This window comes from Homo sapiens, chromosome 4 (assembly GCF_000001405.40).
Source record: "Homo sapiens chromosome 4, GRCh38.p14 Primary Assembly".
Classification (NCBI taxonomy): Eukaryota; Metazoa; Chordata; class Mammalia; order Primates; family Hominidae; genus Homo; species Homo sapiens.
Genome location: NC_000004.12, coordinates 168,890,831 through 168,915,085, shown reverse-complemented (window position 1 = coordinate 168,915,085; position 24,255 = coordinate 168,890,831). Strand labels below are relative to the sequence as shown.

At 37.9% G+C, this 24,255-nt stretch overlaps 2 protein-coding genes across 31 annotated transcripts in view; one reads left to right on the top strand and one right to left on the bottom strand.

Annotated features, from left to right (window-relative positions):
• The window catches only part of CBR4 (carbonyl reductase 4), a 115,770-nt gene extending 95,170 nt beyond the window's left edge, over positions 1–20,600 (top strand). For 2 of the 4 annotated variants that reach the window (XR_007057980.1, XM_005263315.4), the window contains one exon: positions 20,321–20,466. Coding sequence is in view for 2 of the 4 variants with exons in the window: in XM_005263315.4 (XP_005263372.1) it covers positions 20,321–20,412 (92 nt within the window). In the remaining 2 variants the exon portion in view is untranslated. Of the gene's footprint in view, positions 1–19,333; positions 19,494–20,320 lie in introns of all 4 variants that reach the window. The other 2 variants (XR_001741341.2, XM_017008782.2) reach the window with 2 other exon arrangements.
• Positions 1–24,255, bottom strand: part of PALLD (palladin, cytoskeletal associated protein) — a 431,390-nt gene that overhangs the window by 13,356 nt on the left and 393,779 nt on the right. For 11 of the 27 annotated variants that reach the window (XM_011531769.3, XM_011531774.2, NM_016081.4 and 8 more), the window contains 5 exons: positions 24,029–24,164; positions 20,409–20,507; positions 16,372–16,593; positions 11,180–11,329; positions 1,065–1,159 (listed from right to left, as the gene is read on the bottom strand). In XM_011531769.3, coding sequence (XP_011530071.1) covers positions 1,065–1,159; positions 11,180–11,329; positions 16,372–16,593; positions 20,409–20,507; positions 24,029–24,164 — 702 coding nt within the window. Of the gene's footprint in view, positions 1–1,064; positions 1,160–11,179; positions 11,330–16,371; positions 16,594–18,486; positions 18,538–20,408; positions 20,508–24,028; positions 24,165–24,255 lie in introns of all 27 variants that reach the window. The other 16 variants (XM_011531768.3, XM_011531773.2, NM_001166108.2 and 13 more) reach the window with 3 other exon arrangements.

Below are 24,255 nucleotides of genomic sequence, written 5' to 3'. Positions count from 1 at the left end.
GCTTTCCAGGACCCACTGATATAAGGAAAGGCTTAAAAATGTGTTGCAGACAACAAGAGAAGCAAAGAGAATAATGCAAGACAATGGACCTAATCCTGTATATGCTATGTTTATACCCAAAGATACAGGCTAGCATCCTGTGAATAGGTATTGCCATGATGAAGTTAGAATTAAATCTACACATGCTCTGGTGCCAGAACTGTCTTCCAAATGTTGAACAAAAGTCTGTGTGGATGCAGTCACACACCACTTGTTTGATGTTTACTCAGTTTTCCTGCCTACTCTCTGTGAGCTAACTATGTATTCTCTTCACTAAAGGAGTTTGCACCTATGGCCTGTAATTTAGACTCAGGACTATTTGAGGATATTCTGTCTATAAAATATCTAAACAGGCCAAGTTGACAGGATGGTTGACTTACTGAATTTTTTTTAAGTGCAAATGTGTTACTAAGAAGTAATAATCCTTTCTCTATCTCTGCCTACCATTGTTCCATCAGTGTCCTTGCATAGACTCAGAACTACTAGGAATGGAAAGCATCTCTATTGCTAGCAGATATCTGAGTATTTAAAATGTGACAGATCTTACCTACAAGATTTGTAGTCTAATGGTCTTATGTTTTGAACTAAGTGGCTGAAAAATGAACATTAACAAATGAGCTGATTTTAAGAAACCCAGTGGTAATAGCTTTTAATGTGTGCGTCCACTCACACAGCTGTTGGTTACAGAAGTTTGGTTTCCAACATTTGTGTACCATTTAGTAGTATTTTCATATGCCATTTAAAAGTGCTGAGTCTTGATTTATTTGTCTATAAAATATGTCTTATTTAACAAACTAATAGTATATGTGAATGGGCTTAGCACACATTAGCGAATGTTTGTTCCCATTCCCTTTCTGCATCACAAGGGAGCATAATAATCAAGGAGCCACAGGCTTCAGGTTTGCATTCCTATTCTATCTTCCAGTTATGTTTACTTTTGTGGTCATATGATGATTCTAATAGTACTACATTTATAGTAATAAATAAAATAATGTAACACTTCTGGGAAGGAACATGTTAAATACCTTCTGACATGAGGATGGCCTGAGGGAGACCGGGGACTTCGACCTCTTTGGTTGACAGCCTGTACCATTAGCCGTCCAGTACAACTGATGCGGCCCTGTAGAAATATCAGGAAATAAATGATTTGCTATTTAAAACTATTAACCACTAAGCACTATCATGCCTACTGTCCTATTCTCTATAAGACATTATTTCATAAAAAATTCAGTATGCCATTTGAGTAATGACTAACCCTTTTCAGAAAAACACTTTCCCTGTGAGTTAAGTGCCTCAGTAAAACTATTTTTACTTGAAGAACTTGAAGGTGACAAGGTCTTTTTTTGGAACTCTTAAATAAGCTTTACTGTTTTATCTAGGATGGTATTTAAAATGACAACCCTTGATTAATTGTAACCTGCAAAGGTCTCCGTAACACATGATGTTGAATTGTAAAATATAGCAGGAGGACATCAGTCTCTTGTGAAGATTCCATTTTCATGGTCATCTACCAGCTGTAGCCAATTCTGAAATCAAACCTAGATGATTTCAGTTTTCTCTTTTTAGTAATATACTAATTATAGTAATATACTAATTAAATGTTAGTGGCTGGCCGGGCACGATGGCTCATGCCTGTAATGCCAGCACTTTGGGAGGCTGACGCAGGTGGATCACGAGGTCAGGAGTTCGAGCCCAGCCTGGCCAATATGGTGAAACCCCGTCTCTACTAAAAAAATACAAAAATTAGCCGGGCGTGGTGGCATGCACCTATAGTCCCAGCTACTTGGGAGGCTGAGGCAGAAGAATCTATTGAACCCGGGAGGCGGAGGTTGCAGTGAGCTGAGATGGTGCCACTGCACTCCAGCCTGGGTGACAGAGCAAGACTCTGTCTCAAAAAAAAAAAAAAAAAAGTTAGTGGCATCCCTTCCCCAAACCATACATTAAAATGAGCATGATAAAATGAGTGTTATGTAAGAAGTATGCGTGGGATGATAAGGAGAGCTTCATGACTAAATGAAGCCATGTTCTCATGAAATGAACATATTTGAGATTTAAAAACTAGAAGCAGTTAAATACCTAAAATATGTGGGTCATATGATAAGGGCCTATGTAATTAAAAAAACCTATATTTTGTTCTCTTAAATTTGTCAATTGAAATTTTGACGGGGTGGTGGGGTCGGGGAGATAGCCAGAAGTTGGTTAATGGATACAAAATTACAGCTACATAGGAGGAAAAAGTTTTAGTGTTTCACAGCACTGTAGGATAACAATAATTTATTGTGTATTTTCATATAGCTGGAAGAGTGGATTTTGAGTATTTCCAACACAAATGATAAGTGAGGTGACAGATATGCTAATTACCATGATTTGAACATTATACGTTGTATACATGCTTTGAAATATCACACTGTACCTCATAAATATGTATAATCATTGTGTCAACTAAAAATAATAAAAGCAAAAAAAGAGTTTGATAAACGCTGTCATATGTGAACAGACAAGTAATACTCAGGGCACCCAGATGACATGGATAAGCCACACATTGTTACTTTGGTTTTTGTTTCAGCCCTTTCTCTTAATTTGTTTTTTTCACTGTTACCAGCAGAGTAGCAAAAAAGATGATTTTTCTCCTTCACTCTCTCAGAAGAATGAGAAGATGTGCTTCTAAATTGTGATGACTGCCAAAGGTAACAGCAAGAGAGGAAAAACAAGAAGCAGATGTACCATCAATGATTAGACTTAGTGAGTTCTAGCTCAGAGTTGATGAGAAGCCCTCATGCACTTACACTCAGAATAAAATTCTCCCATTGGCTGTCATTTTTATTGCAAGCTGCCTATAGAGACAGGTAACAGAAGCTGCAGTGTTCTGTGTGTTTTGAAGAACTGCTTTCCAACTGTGAGTAGACTGGAGTGGGGGTCAGGGTGAGGGCACTAGTGGAGGGAATGCAGAGAAAAATCCCATAGCAAGATTCACTGAAGGGCAGGACTCTAACTGGGGGGGTTCTCTAGGTCTCCTAAAACCTGGACTTCTTTAGGGCTATAACCACCCAGAAAAGGCAAAGACACATAGGAATGTAATACAGACAGGAGAAGAATGAGGAATTACCAAAGAGAGGTCATCACAAAGAAACAAACATAACTAGTTTTATACCACTACATATGTGACTCCGTCTGGCATTCACGGTGTTTGCTATTGAGGTCATAGTTAAAACACTGTGTTTCCTGAAAATTTCCAAGGAGACATGAAGTCTAACATTATGAAGGAGAATTATTTCTAGCTCAGATTAACTGTACCTGAAGCACAGGCCACTTGATACAGATTCTTATGCTAAACTCTTGGCAAACATTTGGGATTCCCTAAACTAGCCTGAAATCTAAAAATTAATTTCATCCAAGTTCTCCAGATCTGTACTTGCTGTAGAAAATCTAGATGTAACTTGCTTAGAAGACCTCCATCATGAACTATCCAACTGATGCATCATACAAGATAACACATGAACACTTAAAATTAATGATTCTTTTTGGAGGTTGAGGACAAGGAAGTGTGTGTATTGTTTTACACAAATAGCTTCCAATTGTCCTGATGTGGGATATGGCTTCCTTATTATGTGCTTTGCGGCTTCCATGATGAAATGCTTATAATTTGGATATATCCTTCCTTGTGATATGAAGCTCAGAAGATCCATGGTAAGTTAAAATGAACTAATCATTTATGCGGTTAGAAAAAGATATAATGTAAGTTAAATTCAGACTTAAACTTGAATTTGGAAAAGGAGGTATGGGTTGTTACAAACAGTCAAACAAACACACCTCACTAACCTGGATTTGAGTGCTGACTTTTCCTAAAACTTTGAGCAAATCACTGAATTTGTTCAAGCCTTTGTTTCTTTTTCTGTACAAATAGGGATGCTACATATATCTCTCACAAGGATGTTTTAAGGGTTAAATGATGTAACCTAAATGCTCTCATAAATATCAAATGGTATGTGACATCATAAATTATCATTATTAAATTCCTCATAGCTGGTACTGTGTTATCATGGGTCTGAGACATTATGCATGGACATGCATCAAGATGGTTTTTAGGAGCCCCAGCAGCTTGGCGGACCCCAGCAAGAATTTCCATGTGAATATACTTTACATGAGGTATATGCTTACCTCCTTCTAAAATTCTTTCATATTTAACCACTATCTCCCCTGCCACTTAGTGCTCTTAATCCTGGAATGAGCCTTAAATACCTTCGTATTGCATTCAGTAGCTCTGGAATCAGTCTAAGTTTGTAAACCAGTTCTGCTGTCCCTTACAGGTGAGTGACTTTAGGCAGGTAACTTAATCTTTCTAAGTTTCCTTCTCTGTAAAACAAGGCCATATAGTTAATACCTAATGGGTTCTTATGAAGATTAAAGGCATTAATACTTGTAAAGCACCGGGCAGCATTGTGTTTTGCATGAAGCCAATGCTCAAAATGTTAAATTATTGTAGCACTCACTATGGATATAATTATAATAACCAGTTTTGAGGCATCCTTTAGAATTGTTTATGTAATGGAATTTTATTTTTCTTGGTATTAGAATGTAATTTACTCCAAAGGAAAAACAAAATACCTTTGGCACAGGAGGCAGACTATGTGGGAAGCAGATTAACCTTTTTAACTTCTGCTGGTGCTTGAAAGGTGCTAAGCACAATCATACTGAAATGTACTTGTTAGTGTGATGGCTGCATTTGATGTGGAGGAGGAAAAATATGCCCTATTCAGCTCTAAACAGATCCTTGATATGCTTAGCCTGCCTCTTCCTCCCCTCTCAAAAAAAAAAAAAAAAAAAAAGTAAACAGGTTGGCATACTACTCTGGAAAGGTCACACATTTCTACACTGTTTTCAGGGTTTTTGCTGCTACTGCTTAGAACCATATATACAAATATTGCCACAGAATATTTCCTTAACTTCCCAAATTTAAGAAAAAGGAATAGTTATCATTTGTAATCTCTCTATTCTGATACCAACCTGCACTTCTGAACATGAAAGGGGAAGGTGTGGTCTTCAGGAGGCAGAATTATTAGTTTGATTTATACAGTGTTATTGGCTAAATATATTACTAACCAATACATAACCAGGAGCATTTAGAGAGCATCCAAACTAAGAAGTTGTATAATTTTGTCATTTTTGTTTGGGGGAAAAAACCCCCAGAGTTCAGTGAAGCTTTTTTGAAAAGATGCCTTCCATGTGCATAATAGAAAATTCAGGTTTTTAAGTCTGAACATACTATTTTTGACAAAGGTCATATAGAATTAGCAATAAGTGATTTTAATAATAATATGCCTATTAACCCTGGTAATCATAGTTAGTAGGCTCTGATGCACATTAATGCTGCTGCATTTGCTTTTATTAATTTTCTCATTTCTATCTGCTTTACTATGAACATAAGAATAATGGAAGGGAATGTTTAGAGTGAAGCTTGAAATGAGCCAGGAAACCTTATAATGCTAAAACAAAACACAAGCAACAAACTAACATTTTATATTTAACTCAGTTGTGTGTTACTTTTCCATTCCAAACAAATCCACAGAGTTTAAAGCTTATATTACAAATAAGTTTGAATTCTAAAAGTGATTCTGTATTAAACATCCAGCTTGTAAAGATTATTTCATACCTTGTGCAAGGCCAATTATTTATGTAATATGGAAATAACATTTATATTTCATAGTTTATGAAATTTAACTTGTGGCACACAGGTCTTCATAAAAGCTTGCCACTTGTATACATAATGCAGTTTGAGGAAACATCAGACTGCAAAATAGCCATTCCAAAATCCAAGTGCAATACAAAGTAACTTAGCAACACAACAAAACAAAGTAAAACATTCGTGTTTAGATGTCGTTGTTCTTAAAGATAGGATTAGAGTCTAAAATAAACTGTATTTGTGATCCTCATTTTGGCATTCTCTTTGGTGTAACTGCACAGTCACTCATTATTTTGCTAAACTATGTGATTGCTTTGGTCTCTTATGAATTGCTTGAGCTACACACATCGAGTGTGATACACAGCCCAGTATATGTTTAGAGCTGTGTGTTCTATCCCAAGTAGAATTTGGATGCAGTCAACAATATCTAATGTTTTTCTTATTCCCAAAAGATTAACCCAGGTGGAAAAATATCATATTCTATAAAATATTCTGCTGAACTTTAATATTTTCCTCCCTCCTTGGTTCTCACCCTTCTCTTGGCTGCTTTCTGTAATTATTTTCCACTGCTCAGGAGAGCTCTACCGTCTGTGTTTCATTACTGAACTAATTTTTCCACTCTAGTCTTCCTCTTTTCCTTGGTTATTTCATTTCATCTGGGCTACAGTGTACTAGAAAACATACATGTATTCTCCCTTTCAAACCCAAATACTTTTTTTTCTAAACTCAAATAACTTTAAAATTTCAAAATTTAAGGTAACTAAAGGGCATTAAGGAAGTAAGGAGTCAACTTCAGTTTTCTGTCAACTACACTTTATGCTTTTGGGATTACTATATCTTGAAAGATTTAGCTATTTTGAATTTTTTTTTCACCACCTTTTATGACATGACTATTTAAACTCATGTCTTAATTCATAAATTATAAGAAAAAAGTTTTAATATACGGTAATAGATGTTGTAAAGCTGAGATTCTAAGAGCATTAAACATTTCCAGAATGGCATCCTTACAGCAACAAATGGTAACTTATGCCAAGAGTTAGGTAGAAAAATGGTGTGTCACTGGTCATGGTTTAAATGCCACTTTGTTTTGCTAATGGATAGTGAAGTTCACTCCAATTTTTAAGTGATGACTCACAGAACTTATATCTGCCATATTTGGACATACCAGTTACTGAAGCCCCCAAGACAGAAAAGAAGGGGTTTTACTCTTGGAATTAAAATCAACTAGGCAACATGCTCAGAAACTTGGAACAAATACTACTACTGCTAAGTGGCATAAATATCAAAATTCTCTCACAGCAATTTCAGTGGGATATATACATTTACACACTGAGGCCTAGACTTCATGAGTTTCCCTTCCTTTTGCCTGTCTTGGGTTATTTAGGTAAAGAAGACTCTTAGCCCTACCCCTTAAGATGCTGGGAGTGTCAACTGATCTTTGGAGTTGGTTGGAATACTATAATAGGTAGTGTTAGAAACTGGTCTGTTTACTGTGATGCTCTGGGTTCTTTGAATCTTTTTTTTTTCTCCTTTTGATAGACCCAGAGTAGTTATTTTACCCTTGGCTGAAATCACAGGTTGGATAGGATATTCTATTAGGAGGGCTGTTCTTGGTCCACTTCTCATTGCTTTGTCTTCTCTCCAAAGGGTAGAGCAAAGAACCAGAGAGGGTTAACCATGGGGCTCAGCCTGGGATTTGCAAAGCAGAGAATTCTGGGGCCTGGAATAAGGGCAGTAACCACTCTCTTTTGGGGCTTCTCTTGGCCCTGAGGGTGCTGAGAGTAGAGAGCAGCTTCCCAGCTTCATGTGTGGCTGATGTCAGCTGTGCTATGGGTGTGGCCGTCCTCTAGCTCACAGCTCCTCCACCCAAGCCCACAGCTGTGGCAGTTGTGGCACAGCCACATCTGCTGCCTAAGTCCTTTCCCATGGAGGTGATAAAATGGAAAAGCCAGGAGGTCAGAAGACCACACAGCAACAACATACTGGGTAGAAATTCCATCCCAAATTGACTTGCTTACTTTCTGACAGTACTGTGGGAACGGAGTACCTAGACACAGAACTGATCCTTTACATCTGGTTCCACAGGCTTCTGTTGTAGGCCTGTTGCTTTAAGATGGGGTAGTTACTGTCTCTGAATTAAAATAATGACAGTAACTAGCATTTATTGAAAGCATAGTATGTGCCAGGTAAACTGAATGCTTTTTACATGTACTATTTAAATCTGTATTATTATTATTATTATTATCATCCTCATTTTACGAGGGAGGAAACAGGCACAGAGAAGTTAAGTGACTTGCTAAGGTCACACAGGTAGTGAGTGGCAGAGCTAGAATTCCAGCTGAGATTGCCTGATGCCAAAGTTCATGCTCATAACCCCTGTACTGCATGGCCTGCCGGCCTCATCCTAGGTTTTTTCAGTATCATCGGTGTTGCCCTACAATCTTGGTATTTGTAGTAACATTTCTTTTTTATTTCCTTCCTTTCCTTTTTTTCCTATGTTAACAAGGGTTTCTTTTTTTTGGCATTATATATTGGGCTTTGGGTAAGATTACATTTATTTTCTAAAAATTTATTTTTGGCTAATGGCAGTGGCTCACGCTTGTAATTCCAGTGCTTTGGGAGGCTGAGATGGGAGGACTGCTTGAGCCCAAGAGTTCTAAGCTGCAGTGAGCCATGATTATGCCACTGTACTCCAGCCTGGGTGACTGAGGAAGACCTTGTCTCTAAATGAATAAACAAAAATTTCTTTTTTATTCTAATTGATAAATTATAATTGTATATATTTGTGGGGTACAATGTGATATTATATGTATGTAATATGGAATGATCCAAGGGAGATTTTCAGCAGCTCACCTTCATCTAGTGACTTCATAATAATTTGTCAAGAGAGTTTAAATGACTGGAGACTACTGACCCCCAAGGCTGGCCTGCTGTCTTAAACTCTGCACACTGCCATTGGCCATGAGCACTGAGTCAGTCCTTCCTCACTGAGAACTTTTCCACATGTAAAAATGCATTATTATAATTTGAGGAAGACACTAAGCGGACTCACAATTGCAGTTTTACGTTTATGTTCTTTTGTTCTATAAAATGGCTTATTCCAATAACAATTTAAAACATGCTAAGAAAAATGTCTTGAAATTAATAGCAGGTTCCCAGTGTTGGCAAATACGTAAGGACCACAGATAATTCCATCCCATAATATACCCCAGCCTTTCTAGGGCAAAAGAGGAATAAATGACCCAACACGAAGAAAAATTTTGGATTTTGTCAGTTCTCCACCATTTTCTTAAACAGGCAGAAAACTAAACTAAAAGCTAGAATTTGTTAATGTCAAGGAAATGCACTGAAAATATAATAAGGAAAAAAGAGGCCGAGGCAGGTGGATCACCTGAGGTGAAACCCCGTCTCTATTAAAAATACAAAAAATTAGCTGAGCGTGGTGGTGCTGAGGCAGAAGAATTGCTTGAACCCAGGAGGTGGAGACTGCAGTGGGCTAAGATCATGCCACTGCACTCCAGCCTGGGCAACAGAGCAAGATTCCGTCTCAAAAAAGAAAAAAAAAAAAAAAAAAAAGAAAAAAAAGCAAGTTCCGCTTTTGTTTCTTCATATATATCAAATATGAACACAAACATTAAAATGCAACTTCTTAATAGTGATTTAGACTTTTTCAGGGTGATGGTCATGTATTCATTGATTAAAACATTTAGAACTTTAAGAATGTGCATTAATATAGAAGCTTTTCATTAACAGTGAAGAGTTTGCTGTGCTCTATCACAACCTGATTAGCTGGATAATCTGTTTTCATTCTGATCTTAATATTATTGCAGAAAAATATATTTATATGACCATGGAATATTAGAATATAATAAACCTTGAATAAACTTTATTTATTTATTTATTTAGAAACAGAGTCTCAGGCCGGGTGCAGTGCCTCACACCTGTAATGCTAACACTTTGGGAGGCCGAGGCGGGCGGATCACGAGGTCAGGAGATCGAGACCATCCTGGCTAACATGGTGAAACCCCATCTCTACTAAAAATAAAAAAAAATTAGCCGGGCATGGTGGGTGCCTGTAGTCCCAGCTACTAGGGAGGCTGAGGCAGGAGAATGGTGTGAACGCAGGAGGCGGAGCTTGCAGTGAGCCGAGATCGCGCCACTGCATTCCAGCCTGGGCGACAGAGTGAGATTCCATCTCAAAAAAAAAAAAAAAAAAAAAAAAAAAAAACCAACAAAACAAAAAACAAAGTCTCACTCTGTCAACCAGGCTGGAGTGCAGTGGTGCAGTCTTGGCTCACTGAAACCTCCGCATCCCAGGTTCAAGTGATTCTCATGCTTCAACCTCCTGAGTAGCTGGGATTACAGGTGCCTACCACCACACCTGGCTAATTTTTGTATTTTTAGTAGAGACAGGGTTTCGCCATGTTGGCCAGGCTGGTCTCAAACTCCGGGGCTGAGGCAATCCACCTGCCTCAGCCTCCCAAAGTGCTGGGACTACAGATGTGAGCCACTGCACCTGGGCCAGAAACTTTAATTAAAAGTTTGTAGTGTCATTAAAATTATTTATATAGTTTCTAATGCTAAATATTTTCTTCAAAAGAAATAATATGGAATGATATAAGTAGATCAGAGATTCTAAAAAGATGACTTCTAGAGAAAACTGCTCATTTTACCATGCCTTTTTTTTTCTTTTTAAAAGTGTGTTATTTATACTACTTTTGCAGACTTTAGTAAAACTACCTGTCATACATTGAGCTCTTAAGGTACAAAATAACTTTTTACTCATTTTTGTATCCCCTATATCCAGCATAGTGACTAAAATGTATAACATAATAAAAAAGAATTTGCAGGCTCGAACTGGCAACATGATACCCAGCAGCCTCCTATTAAATTCTAAGAAGGCAACTGATTTTTTGACCCTAAGTCTAAAGGCAAATACAAGAGAAAACATTTTGATGAAAACTGATAAACCTGAATGCTATCAAAATTATCATTTGTCTACATTTGCACATTAAATCCCACTGATGTGTTTCTTTTAAAATATTTTACTTTGTTGAGTTTTTCTTATACAGCCTATGCATGCCACTCACTCTTTTTCTCCTTTATTTTCTTCATGTAATCCTACCTGAAGTTATATTATTTGTTAATTGCTTATTTTTTACCATAGGACTTTGTCCAGTCTACCACTGCAACCCCATCACCCACATAGAAAGTGTGTACATATTAGACCCTTAATAATATTTGTGGAAGGAGTAGAATAACACCTGATGGAATAAATAAGTATTCATGAAACAAAGAATTTTTCTATCCTCTGAAACCAAGATGGATGTAGAATTTGGAAAAATAGTTTCATAAATCAAAGAAACTTCTTAACTTCACCTTTTAAATAGTTCCTTTGTCTAATCAAATGCCTGTAAGCACTAGACACAGAACTGAGCCCAGACCTATACCCTTCTTTACCTGAGGGTTTGCAGCCATAATTGTATAATTCCCATCATCATCTAGGGTGGAGGCTGTGGTATGGAGGGAGCAGGTCCCATCGAGATCTCTTTGAATGGTGTAGTGATCACTCTTTGGAGAGATCTGCTTCCCATCTTTAAACCAATAGATCTGTGAATAGAAACAAAGATTAAAGATTAGGAGTTTGTGTATTCCTACTCTATTTGGAGAACTGAAAATAGTAACAGTGTGGTTTGCAGAGCTGATCTGAGTTTTCATGTTAAAATGTTAAACCAAATACCTGACTAAGGAATTGATTTTTCACTGAAAAAAGGCAGGTAACAATTTAAATTCTATTTGAGTTTTTAAATTATATATCTTCCTTTTGTTTTTAAAAATATTGCACTTACATTCATATATTATTTATATGAAGGGATATATTGAATTTTGGCAATGATTATTTCTATGAAGTGGCATTACTTCATGGCATTCATAGAATGCCATTATTTCTATGAAGTGGCCTTCTATGAAGGCCATTTTTCTTTTTTCAAATGTACCAGCAATTAAAATGTATTGTTTATAAAATAAAGGTAAAAAGGTTGTTTTGGAGAACAAAAGCAGACCCCAAACTCTAATCATTTCACTGAATTGTGTTTGACAAATAAAAGAGGTTGGTAGGGAGGGAGGTGATGACTAAGGGTTGGTGATGGGTGGAATACTACTGCTTTATTTCTGGGCCAGGAAGCATATGATCAAAGGTTAAATGTTTGTCACCTATCCCCATTATGTTAAAGAAAACACAGTAGTATTGAAAAGTATAATAATTTTCAGATATGTAACTTGGGTTGATAAAAAATTAAATGTGGGCCAGGTACAGTGGCTCATGCCTACCTATAATCCCAGCACTTTGGGAGGCTGAGGAGGATTGCTCAAGCCCAGGAATTCAAGACCAGCCTGGGCAACATAGTAAGACCCAAAAAATAAAAAAATTATCTGGGTGTGGTGGTGCATGTCTATAGCCCTAGCTATTTGGAAGGCTGAGTCAGGAGGATTGCTTGAGCCCAGGAGGTTGAGGCTGTAGTGAGCCATGATCATGCCATTGCACTCCAGCCTAGGTGACTGAGGCCCTGTCTCAAAAGAAACAATGTAAAAAATAAAAGTAAATTTTGATTAAATACAATATTTTTAAGTAGTCCAAAGGGTCCTCCTTCCTTCCCTCACTTTTAAACAAAACCAGTTGTCCATGGATGTCCGAGTTCTAAGGTTTTGTTTTGTTTTGGAGACAGGGTCTCGCTCCGTTGCCCAGGCTGGAGTGCAGAGTGCGGTGGTGCAGTCTTGGCTCACTGTAACCTCCGCCTCCCAGGTTCAAACAATTCTCGTGCCTCAGCCTCCAGAGTAGCTGGGATTACAAGTGTGAGCCACCATGCCTGGCTAAGTTCATTATTATTTTCGATTTAAGTTATGAACAACACAGTTGAAAGATAGGCCCATCATAATGAATCACAGTGCCAACAGCCCTAACATGGCTGAGATGCTGAATTAATAGCTACATCACCCCACCTGCAGACTTACTAGATAAGCAAATAAACCTTTCCTTTTTTAAGCCACAGCAAGTTATTTGTTGTCATTTTTTGTTCCTTGCAGCCAAAAGTATTCCTGATTCCTAACAAAACAAATATACTTTAGACCCTTTAGTTGTTAAAACAAACTTCTTCCTTAATATAAATCAGTATGTAAATTGGTAACATAAACTGACATTCAAATTCAACTGTCTGTCAAAGTATTTGAATCTGAAAAATCTTTTTGAAACCTGCATTCTAAGAAAGGAAAAGACCAGAAATATATAGCACTAAATAAATGGATGAATTATCAGGATATGACTGCTCTAACTTTTCAAACTCGTATTTTTCAGGTAGCTCCAAATTTACAGAAACTATATTACGTATTAAACTCTAGAATCTAAAAAGTAATCACCAACTAGACTAATAACTTTGAGTTGTAAAACTTAAATTATGTAAAGTATCATACTTCATAATTATTTTACTTTTTAGTAGTTGACTTTCTTTTTTTAGATGAGTCTAGCTCTGTCCCCCAGGCTAGAGAGTGCAGTGGTGTGATCTTGGCTCACTGCAATTTCTGCCTCCCGGGTTCAAGTGAATCTCTTGCCTCAGCCTCCTGAGTAGCTGGGATTACAGGTGTGCGCCTCCATGCTCAGCTAATGTTTGTATTTTTAGTAGAGATGGGGTTTCACAATATTGGCCAGGCTGTTCTTAAACTCCTGACCTCAAGAGATCTGCCTGCCTCAGCCTCCCAAAGTGCTGGGATTCCAGGTGTGAGCCACTGTGCCTGGCTATGGTTGACTATTTCTGATGGAAAAAAGAAGCTGTAATAAGTATACAATTTCTTCCCTTTTGCATTCTTGCCACAATGCCAGTTCTTGAGTTATTTCTTTAATCATATTTTTCACCTCCATTATACTTGGCATACAACTTTCAAATAAGATCTAAGAAATATTTCCAAAATTTTACCAAGCGTACTAATGGAGGGAGAAATTCGGGAGGGCACAAGCACGAGAACAGGGTAAATCAGAAATTATTTTCAGTCTTCCTATGGCTCAACTAGAACAAGCATGTCAAGGGAGGAATAAAATATTTTTAAAACATAAGCCTAAAAAAACATGTATTTCTTTAAACATGAATATTCCATACTTTAACAATCCTAATGTAATTTATATGGCATATGCCAAAGTAGACCTTTAATAAATGAGAGAGGGAAGAAAACAATGAGAAGGAGAATGAAGGTTGAGGGAGAGGAAGGAGGGATGAAAGAATAACATTTAACAATGAAAAGTTTAAACAATTAAGTCCCTTCTAGCTGTGAAACATTTAAATTTATATTAGGAAAAAAGTACAGTCATATTAAAAACAAAAGCCCATCTTTCATGTTAATGTAGTATTCTATAAGAATCAATAATCTTAGAATTTGATCAGTGATCTTAAGCCTTGTGTAAGGTTTGAAAGTAATATGGAATCTTCTTGTGAATATCTTGGAAGTTCAAGATATAATTCCTTATTGAATTTCGTTCATAAACTACAAATTTATTTTTAATACATGCGTTTGATAACATGTTGTGAATACACAGTTGTTAATGCAGATTATGCCAAGAATATTGTAAAAAGTTTTCTATAACAATGGAGTTTATTTTAAAAATCCCATTTTATTAGGAAGTATATAGGGTTTGAAAATTCAAGGCTCTTTTCTTTGATCTTTGACTTTGGCGTTGCGATTCAGTTTTAAGAAAAGAACATGATGGTAAAACTTGCCATGGTGGGAAAACAAAACAATGCCATGGAGCTATAGGAAATTAACACCTAAAAGTGTCAGGTATTTTTTTATCACTTTTCCCTCTTTCATTTTATGCCACTATTAAGCTTTTTATTTCATTGAGTACATTGCTCTATGCTTATTTTATAAATTTGTATTTTTTGGTACTATCTTGTTCTTTCATTATAGTTTCCATTCTTTTTAAAATTGTTTCAATCTTTTTAAAGTTATTTTAGAGGTTACTTAAGATTGTTCAATATTGTGCAATACTTGGCCTTCTGTTTTTCTGTTTCTTGTACTATGACTCTTAATATGGTTTGGATGTCTGTCCCCTCCAAATCTCATGCTGAAATGGGACTCCCAGTGTTGGAGGTGGGGCCTGGCGGGAGGTGACGGGATCATGGGGTGGATCCCTCATGAATGGTTTAGCACCATCCCCTTGGTGGTAAGTGAGTTCTTGCTCAATTAGTTCACATGAGATCTGGTTGTTTAAAAGTCTGGGACCTCCACCACTTCTCTCTGTTGCTCCTACTCTTGCTGTGTGATTCACCTTTTTCGCCTTCGCCTTCACCATGATTGTAAGCTTCCTGAGGCCGCACCAGGAGAAGATTCTGGTACTACACTTCTGTATACCATGCAGAACTGTGAGCCAGTAAAGCCTATTTTCTTTTCTTTTTTTTTTTTTTGAGACGGAGTCTCACTGTTGTTGCCCTGAGCTGGAGTGCAATGGCGCGATCTTGGTCACTGCAACCTCCACCTCCTGGGTTCCAGCAATTCTCCTGCCTCAGCCTCCCAAGTAGCTGAGATTACAGGCGCCCACCACCATGCCCAGCTAATTTTTGTATTTTTAGTAGAGATGGGGTTTCACCATGTTGGCCAGGCTGGTCTCGAACTCCTGAGCTCAGGTGATCCACCCATCTCGGCCTCGCAAAATGCTGGGATTACAGGCGTGAGCCACCATGCTTGGCCAATAAAACCTATTTTCTTTATAAATTACCCAGTCTCAGGAATCCCTTTATGCAAAAACGGCCTAACACAACTCTCCTCATGGTTATTTCTTCACATATTATTACCTTTATATAAGGCAACTTTTTGCTTGCTTCTAAGAATTTTAATCATCCAGCACTAAATTTCACATTTCTCAGCTTTTGGCTCCCTATCATGTGATAGTGTAGTTTAGGGGTTTTAATTTTTTCCCTTTTTTTTATTCTTTTCACTCAAGCTCTAGGGAAAAGTGTACTCCTGTTTACTGCCTTGCTGGGCTAGTAAACAGTTATTCTAGTCCTTCCTTTAAAGATAGGGCAGCTCCTTATCCAGCATTTCCATATGTTTGTATGGAGAGAGCTCCCATCCAGGTCATCCTAGTCCTGCATGGTATCAGAATTTGTCATTATCCGTTCTAAACAATATTCTTCACCCCACCTCCCTCTGTAAATATTAATATAAGCAGCCTTGGTTTTTTGATTAAAGATTGGAAGTTTTTACAACCAGTGGTGAGCATTACTTGTCTGTATGGTACAGAGCACTGGGTTCATATGCAGGCCTGGCCACTCACCAGCTCTCTGACCTTGGAAACTCACTTCACAGAACTCAGTTTAGTTATTTGTGATTTGGGAATAACAACGAGGAATAAATGATATAGGTGTGTGAAGAGCTCCCTGTTAGTTATTCTCTATTCTTCAAACCCAAACTCCACTCCCCCCACCACCTTTTTTGGTTTCTAATGCCTCCTGAAGATGGCCCAGAACTTAAGAATATTTAAAACCCTTTATATCGTGGGTATTGAGAAAGATCATTTGTATCTCTTTCTCCTACTGGCATGCTATGTTTTGGAAGCTAAACCTTTCCTCAGAGAATGACTCTTAAAAAGCCTCCATCTCCCAGCTCACCTTTGGCTTTGGATTTCCAGCCACTCTACATGTGAAAGTTACTGGCATTCCCTCAAAGATCTTGTAATGTTTCAGCTTCATCTCAAAGAATGGTGCCATTCCATTTTCCACAGGCACATCTCCATACTGAACTTCATCACCTGATTCATCCACAGGAGACCTTTCTAGCCTGTACTCTATTTCACTGATGAGTCTCTGTTCACAGCTGGAGACTTTGTATTCCTGAATCAAGGAAAGTTTAAGTTAGCAGACTCAATCCCTTCTGACAAAGTGTCACGTCTCTCCCTGCCCCCCAATAAGGCCCTAGAAGACAGTGATATTTTTACCATACAGCTTAAAAACACAGTCTGAGCCCAATTCAATTGCATATGAAACAAAAAACATCTGGAAGTGAGTTTATGTGGTATTTCAGATTGTCTTCAAGTCCTATCATCCAAAAAGAGGGGGGTAGGAAAGATGAATTTTTTTTTCCTTCTTTTCTCTGAGGCGAGGGGAAACAAGGGGAAGGAAAGAAAAAGGCAAAAGCAAAGCTATGTATTCCTAAACTGTTGATAACAATAAAATATAATGGAACGCTGATTTCCTTCTGTAGGGTAAAAGCTGATGCAGGGTGGTACATCTCTCCACATAGTACATGTGGCAAGCAGCTGCCATATTATATACAATTATAGTAAAAGAATAATAGAAAAAATGGTACTAGAAAAAATGGTAATAGAAAAAATAGTAAAAGAATAATAGAAAAAAAAAAATGTTTGTTTTTTTTCCCCCACCTCTAACAATCCCTGCCTTGCAAGGGCCGCCTCCTCAGCTCTGCAGCTGTTAGGAACCCACCATCTTTAGAAGAAAAAATAGGACTGACAGTCTAGCCAAAATTTTGCTTTAAAAAAAAAAAACAACCCATCAACATTCCTGTGGTGATTACGGTGGATCCTACAATTTCCTTGCCTACAAAGTGCATTAAAGGCCAGGTACAGTGGCTCATGCCTGTAATTCCCAACACTTTGGAAGGCCGAGGTGGGAGGATTGCTTCTGGCCAGGAGTTTGAGACCAGCTTGGGCAACAAAGTGAGACCCCATCTCTACAAAAAATTTAAAAAGAACAGTAGCTGGGCATGGTGGTACATGCCTGTTGTCCCAGCTACTTGGGAGGCTGAGGTGGGAGGATCACTTGAGCCTGGGAAGTCGAGGCTGCAGTGGGCCGTGATTGTGCCACTGCACTCAAGCCTGGGCAAAAGAGTGAGACCCTGTCTCCAAAACAAAAAAGTGCAATGAAGACAAGGGAGTCTATGTAAATATTCCCTATTTAATATTAAATGAAAGATAACTTTAACTATGTTTTCTCTTAAAGAAGTTACTCAGTGTTTAAAAAACAAGTTTGTTGGTTTGAGGGAAGAAATACAACAGTATGAATAAAACTGCAAGAGTTATACCACAAGTTGTTTTGCTTCATCTAATTACTATCAAATTAATCCCTTGAAGAATTAGCACTTTTGTTCCCCATAGAAAGGTATATATAACAAATGAAAAATTTTTCTTGATTTAATGTTCAGAGTATCCACTAATGACAGAATTAAATTCAAGTCAGAGGCCAGGCACTGTGGCTCATGCCGTATTCCCAGCGCTTTGGGAAGCCAAGGCGGGTGGATCACCTGAGGTCAGAAGTTCGAGACCAGCCTGACCAACATGGTGAAACCCCATCTCTGCTAAAAATACAAAATTAGCCAGGCATGTTGGCATGCACTTGTAATCCCAGCTACTTGGGAGGCTGAGGCAGGAGAATCGCTTGAACCCAGGAGACAGAGGTTGCAGTGAGCCAAGATCACACCATTGCACTCCAGCCTGGGCAACAAGAGCGAAACTCCATCTCAAAATAAATAAATAAATAAATAAATACATAAAGTAAAAATAAATAAATAAATTCAAGCTGGTAAATACATGACAAGAAAACTCATGTTGCAGTAATTTTGTGTATCTGATATTAAATGAAACAGACACTGGTCATAGCATTTATAATTAATATATGGCAGAAAAGATAGAAACACACGTAAAACAGGAAGAACAGAAGAAAACAGACACAGAGAAAGACTGGAAGGAGAAGAAAGGTGAAAAGCTTAACCTTTTGACCATCCAGAGGACTCCCTACAGAAGCATGAGGAGAACCAATGTCCTGTAATGGTAGAAAAAAAGATGTGAAGACTAATAATAGAAATAATAAGAATGCAGCAAGATTTCTAATTTTCCTTAAGTGAAACTTTTGTGCTAGCAATATGCGTTTGGTAGTAACGGTGCTGTGAGTACTCACACAACCATTCTGCTTCTCACTTTTGGTACAGGACTCCATAAATCACATGAGATATTCAATACTTTATTTTAAATAGGCTTTGTGTTAGATGATTTTGCCCAACTGTAAGCTAATGTAAGTGTTGTGAGCACATTTAAGATAGACTAGGCTAACCTAAGATGTTCAGTAGGTTAGGTGTATTAAATGCACTTTTTTTTTTTTTTTTGAGATGGAGTCTCGCTCTGTCACCTGGCTGGAGTGCAGTGGCACGATCTTGGCTCACTGTAACCTCTGTCTCCTGGGTTCAAGCGATTCTCATGTCTCAGCCTCCCGCGTAGCTGGGACTACAGGCGCACGCCACCACACCCGGCTAATTTTTGTATTTTCAGTAGAGACGGGGTTTCACCATGTTGGTCAGGCTGGTCTTGAACTCCTGACCTCAGGTAATCCACCCGGTCTTGGCCTCCCAAAGTGCTGGGATCACAGGCGTAAGCCACTGCGCCCCGCCTTAAATGCACTTTCAACTTACAATATTTTCAACTTATAATGAGTTTATCAGGACATAACCCCATACTAAGTTGAAGAACATCTGTATATATGTGAAAGAAGATAAAGAGATAATATTTTCTATTTTATTTTGACTAGATATTAAGACTAAACAGTTGATCTTTGAACAACACAGGTTTGAACTGCATGGGTCCACTTATATATGGATTTTCTTCCGCTTCTGCAACCCCTGAGATAAGCAAGACCAACCCCTTGTCTTCTTCTCTTCAGACCACTCTAATTTAAGACAATGAGGATGAAGACCTTTATGATGACCCACTTCCACTTAATGAATTGTAAATGTATCTTCTATTCCTTAAGATGTTCTTTGTAACATTTTCTTTTCTCTAGCTTACTTTAAGACTACAGTCTATAATACATATAACATACAGAATACGTGTTAATCAACTCTTTGTTATCAGTAAGGCTTCTGGTCAACAGTAGGCTGTTAGTTAAGTTTTTGAAGAGTCAAAAGTCGTATATGTGTTTTTAGTTTTGTTTTGTTTTGGAGACGAAGTCTCACTCTGCTGCCAGGCTGGAGTGCAGTGGTACAACCTCAGCTCACTGCAACCTCCACCTCCCGGGTTCAAGCAATTCTCCTGCCTCAGCTTCCCGAGTAGCTGGGACTACAGGTGTGCGTCACCACACCTGGCTAATTTTTGTATTTTTAGTAGAGACGGGGTTTCACCATGTTGGCCACGATGGTCTCGATCTCCTGACCTCGTGATCCACCCACCTCAGCCTCCCAAAGTGCTACAATTACAGGCATGAGCCACTGTGCCCGGCCATATGTGGGTTTTTAACTGTGCTTGGGGTTGGTCCCCCTAACTCCCGTGTTGTTCAAGGTCCAACTCTAATGGGAAATATTCACTAGTTATTTCAGACAATGTCGGCGAAAATGTGTTTCTCCACACAAAATTATTTTGCATAAAACTTAGGATAGGAAAATGGAAATGTACTGGAAAGGAGAATAATCAAGAAGAAGAATAAAAAGAACAGGTATCACTGATGGAAAGAATTCTGTCAGTCACTTAACATAGTATGTGCTCAATAAAAATTAGCTGTGAGGTTGACTGATGATATTAATACTGCTTTTCTGTGACTTGCCCTCTACTTTCCACAGAACTCATCCCAAGAACAGTATCCATAAGGAAGATGGAAAAGGGGGACAGAATAAATGTTACCCTAAGAAGTCCAGAGCAACATGGTACCTGATTAGCTGTTTCCTCTTCTGGCTCCTGAATATTAAAGACAGTTGCACTGTCAGCACCTAGCAGTCGACGAGCCATTCTTTCTTCGTATGTTAACCTCTAAACAACGTAAGTCACAAAAAATACAAAATTAGAAAAAAATCACAAATATGTACTGCCCTATGAAAAAGAGTAAAAAACAACACACTTTCATGATTTTCTGTAAGTGTTCTCTCTCCAGCTTCAGATACCTGCATATTTCTTTTTCTTGCTTCAGTTGTTCTACCTTTTTACCTCCCTTTCTAGTACTAATGGCCTAATCCAGAGAGCCACCAATTGGTACAGCACAAATTTAAAGTGAGCAATAAGCGACAAGGAAGAAACCACACAGAAAAGATTTGTCATGTCCTTAATGAAAAACATGGAAAAAAAGATATTTAAACAGCAAAATACAATTTAAAAGAAATGTTATTTTTATAGCCATCCATCAGCTTCAGAACACCCAAGTCAGCTCTAATACTGACTGAAAGAAAAAACAAAGATACTCAAAAGGAGAATAAACTGACTAAAAAAAGAACAGGTATCGCTAATGGAAATAATTCTATCAGTCATTTAACAGTATGTGCTCAGTAAATGTTTAGCTAAAGGAAGATGTGGATGAGCTGGCAGTGATGGGGTTCTTACCTCTAAGAGCATTTCCCAGGCTGCTGTGTAATGTAGGGGATTGGCGGCAACTATTATAATCCACAGAGAATGATGCACATGGCTGAATTAGCAACAGGATTACACAAGACACTTGCCAAAGCTAACAGCCTCAATTGACTTGACCCAGAAGCAGACTGCTTGCCCATCAGGCAAAGAAAGTGGTAGTGTTCTTGCATCTCGCAGCTAGCACTTTGGAATTGGCCCAAACCGTTTTACCTATGCCATTCTTATACATAAGAAATGCCGGCATTTTTGTGTGACTGTTGGGGTGATACCTGCTCTTGAATACTCATTCTAAAGTGCCTTAGACTTACAGGTTTGGAAGGAACTTTCAGATACCACCTGCCTCATCGGGAGCATTTTATAAGCAAGTGTTTGATTAGAAATAGAGAATAATTGGTAAGGCAGAATCTAAAAAATGTACAGAAATTATTTCAGATAAACTTCCAAACTTCTAAATATAAATGCAAATTTGATTGGAAGCTCTCTAATCAGGAAAATATGTTGGGTAAATTTACAATTTCCAGTAATTGCTGATCTCAATCCCAGCTGAAACCGGGAAGTGAAACAAGTCAAGTGCCAAATGACAAATAGTCCTGCAGTTCAAATTATTTCACTTAATAAAGAAAGGTCAGAGGACAAGAAGAGGCAGAGGTAGGAGTCTGAGGGCGGCATGAAGCATCTGAGTCCACTATGTTATTAAATTAATTTTCTCACACCTATTAAAAAATCAGTGAATTCAATTTTCAAAGAGAGTCTTAAATACCTGATCTCTTAAAAAGCTTCCCTAATCTTTTCACGGAGAATTGTAACACATCAAAGGCAGGCCTGGAGTGATTTTCACTCTGTTCCTTATAAGCAGAAATATCAATTTCATATCTATTCCTTCACCAGAATGCACCTGCTACCACTAGAAGCCAAATATACTTCACAGTTTTTTTTCTAAGTCACTATGCCATCTGGCTATAAAAGCCCGTGTCTACAGACACCAAAGATAAGAAAGAGAATGATATATAATATTAGGAAAAAGTTGGTTGAGAATCCCATTTTCTAAAAAGGGAAACCTTACTTGTCATTTTAAGCTCTCAAGTGTGGATACCTGTGGAACTTACTGTGAATGTTATTCACTGCTAAACAGATGAATATAAATATACATACAATATATATAATGTGGGTTGACCAATAGCTTAAGGAAGTCTTACCTTAACCAAGAGAATCTTAGTTCATAAGGAACATTGACATAGACAGCCAAAAAGAAAAAAAAAAAAGCTGGAGTGATGCCTTACCTGGCTTGAAAAAGTTCCCATATGTATTTATTTTAATCTTTTAAAAGATTTAGTTGACAGAGCCAGGGAAAACTTCCAGAGTATGTACATTTACACATGCAATCACTTATTTCAGGGAGAAAATATTTTCCTCTTGTGAAAATCTTCTATACTCAGTGAAATGAGTAACTAACACAAAACTTCATTGAAATTTTAATCTTTCTTAATCAGATTAAGATACCCTAATAAACTAAAATCAGCATTCAGCACCCCTCCTCTGCTCTCCAGCTTTCAAGTGTGGTCTGTTCTCACAGTTTTACTTATCAATGTTTGATAATTAAAATTCTCAGAAAACATAATTATAGAGAGCTTTCTACTCTGAAAAAGGTGTCTGAAAGGGAGATTTTATACAAAAAGATCCTTGTCTTGTACTTAAGAGCCAGGCAAATTTTTCCAGTGACAATTCCTTAATAAAGCTACAGAAGGTTCCTCTCCTTTACCTGGTAAGTCTTATTTTCTAGATTTGCTTTTCCCATCCCCTTAAAATATTCTGGAAATAGTATTTTAAAAAGAAAAGAGTATTTTAAAAGGATAGCATCAACAAAAGAGATGAAAAAACAAACAAAAACTGATGAGGAAAGACTTAAATCCAGTGGAGAAAACATCTTATCTATATATTTTACCAAATCTATTTAGGTACTCTACAGTTCTGCAGCTGTAAAATAATTATTTTTTCCTACAGTTTAGTTATCTTGCTCTAACAAACCAGAACAAGATTTTGGAACAGCCTTTACTCTTTCAGATGCTGAATTAATATCTAGTAGTAGTCTGGGAGAAAAGAACAGAACTTCCCCAATGGTTTCTCTAGTAGATTTGTGTGCGTGTGTAAGTAGTACATACCATGGAAAACAAATTCTCTTTTTGATACTTTCATTGCAGTTCGCTGTTTCTGGGTAGATACAAACCATTCCAAAGCGCACCTTCTCCATCCCTCCCCAACCCTATCAGCCAGAATGGAATCCCTGTGTTCCTTTTTTTTTTTTTTTAATACCATTGGCATTGCTCATTTGTTCCTCTCCCAACCAGATATCTGCCCTTCCTTCTTCCTTTCTTTCCCACTTACTCTCTTCACTCTTAGAAAGGTTTTTTGCATAGGAGAAAGCAGTGAAGACTGAATAGAAGGAAGGCCTTTCGTTTTCTCTTTTGTCTTTGGATTCAAATCCTAATATCAAGAGAAATGTTGAGATTCAAGGGTAATAAAATAATGTGGCTGTGTGCAGTGGCTCACATCTGTAATTCCAGCACTTTGGGAGGCCAAGGCGGGCAGATCGCCTGAGCTCTGGAGTTTGAAACCAGCCTAAGCAACATAGGGAGACTCTGTCTTTACAAAAATAAAAAATTAGCCAGGCATGGTGGCATGTGCCTGTGGTTCCAGCTACCCAGGAGGTTGAGGTCACAGGATTGTTTGAGCCTGGGAGGTCAAGGATGCAGTGAGCTGTGATGACACCATTGCACTCCAGCATGGGTGACAAAGTGTGACCCTGTCTCAAAAATAATAATAATAATAATGATGATGTTGTGGACAAATATCAAGAACCTAAGTCTTAGAGAAAGGAAGAAAGGTATGTGGGTAGCTAACATTCCAAGTCCAGGTCCCAAATCTATCAGTACCGGCTGGCCATTGTTCAGGAGGTCCTCCTTGAAGCGAAGTTTTCGTTCCAGGTCTTGAATAACAGCATCCTTTGTGCCTTGAATTTCCTCATCGGAGGCTATTCTAGCAGTTCTACTGGCCTTCTTTGGAAATCCTCTGCAGGATAAAAACACAAGGCAGTATAGTTAGTTGTCAGGCATATAAATCCAAGTCAAACGTTCAAGTCCAACAAAGACAGTGCAAGGTA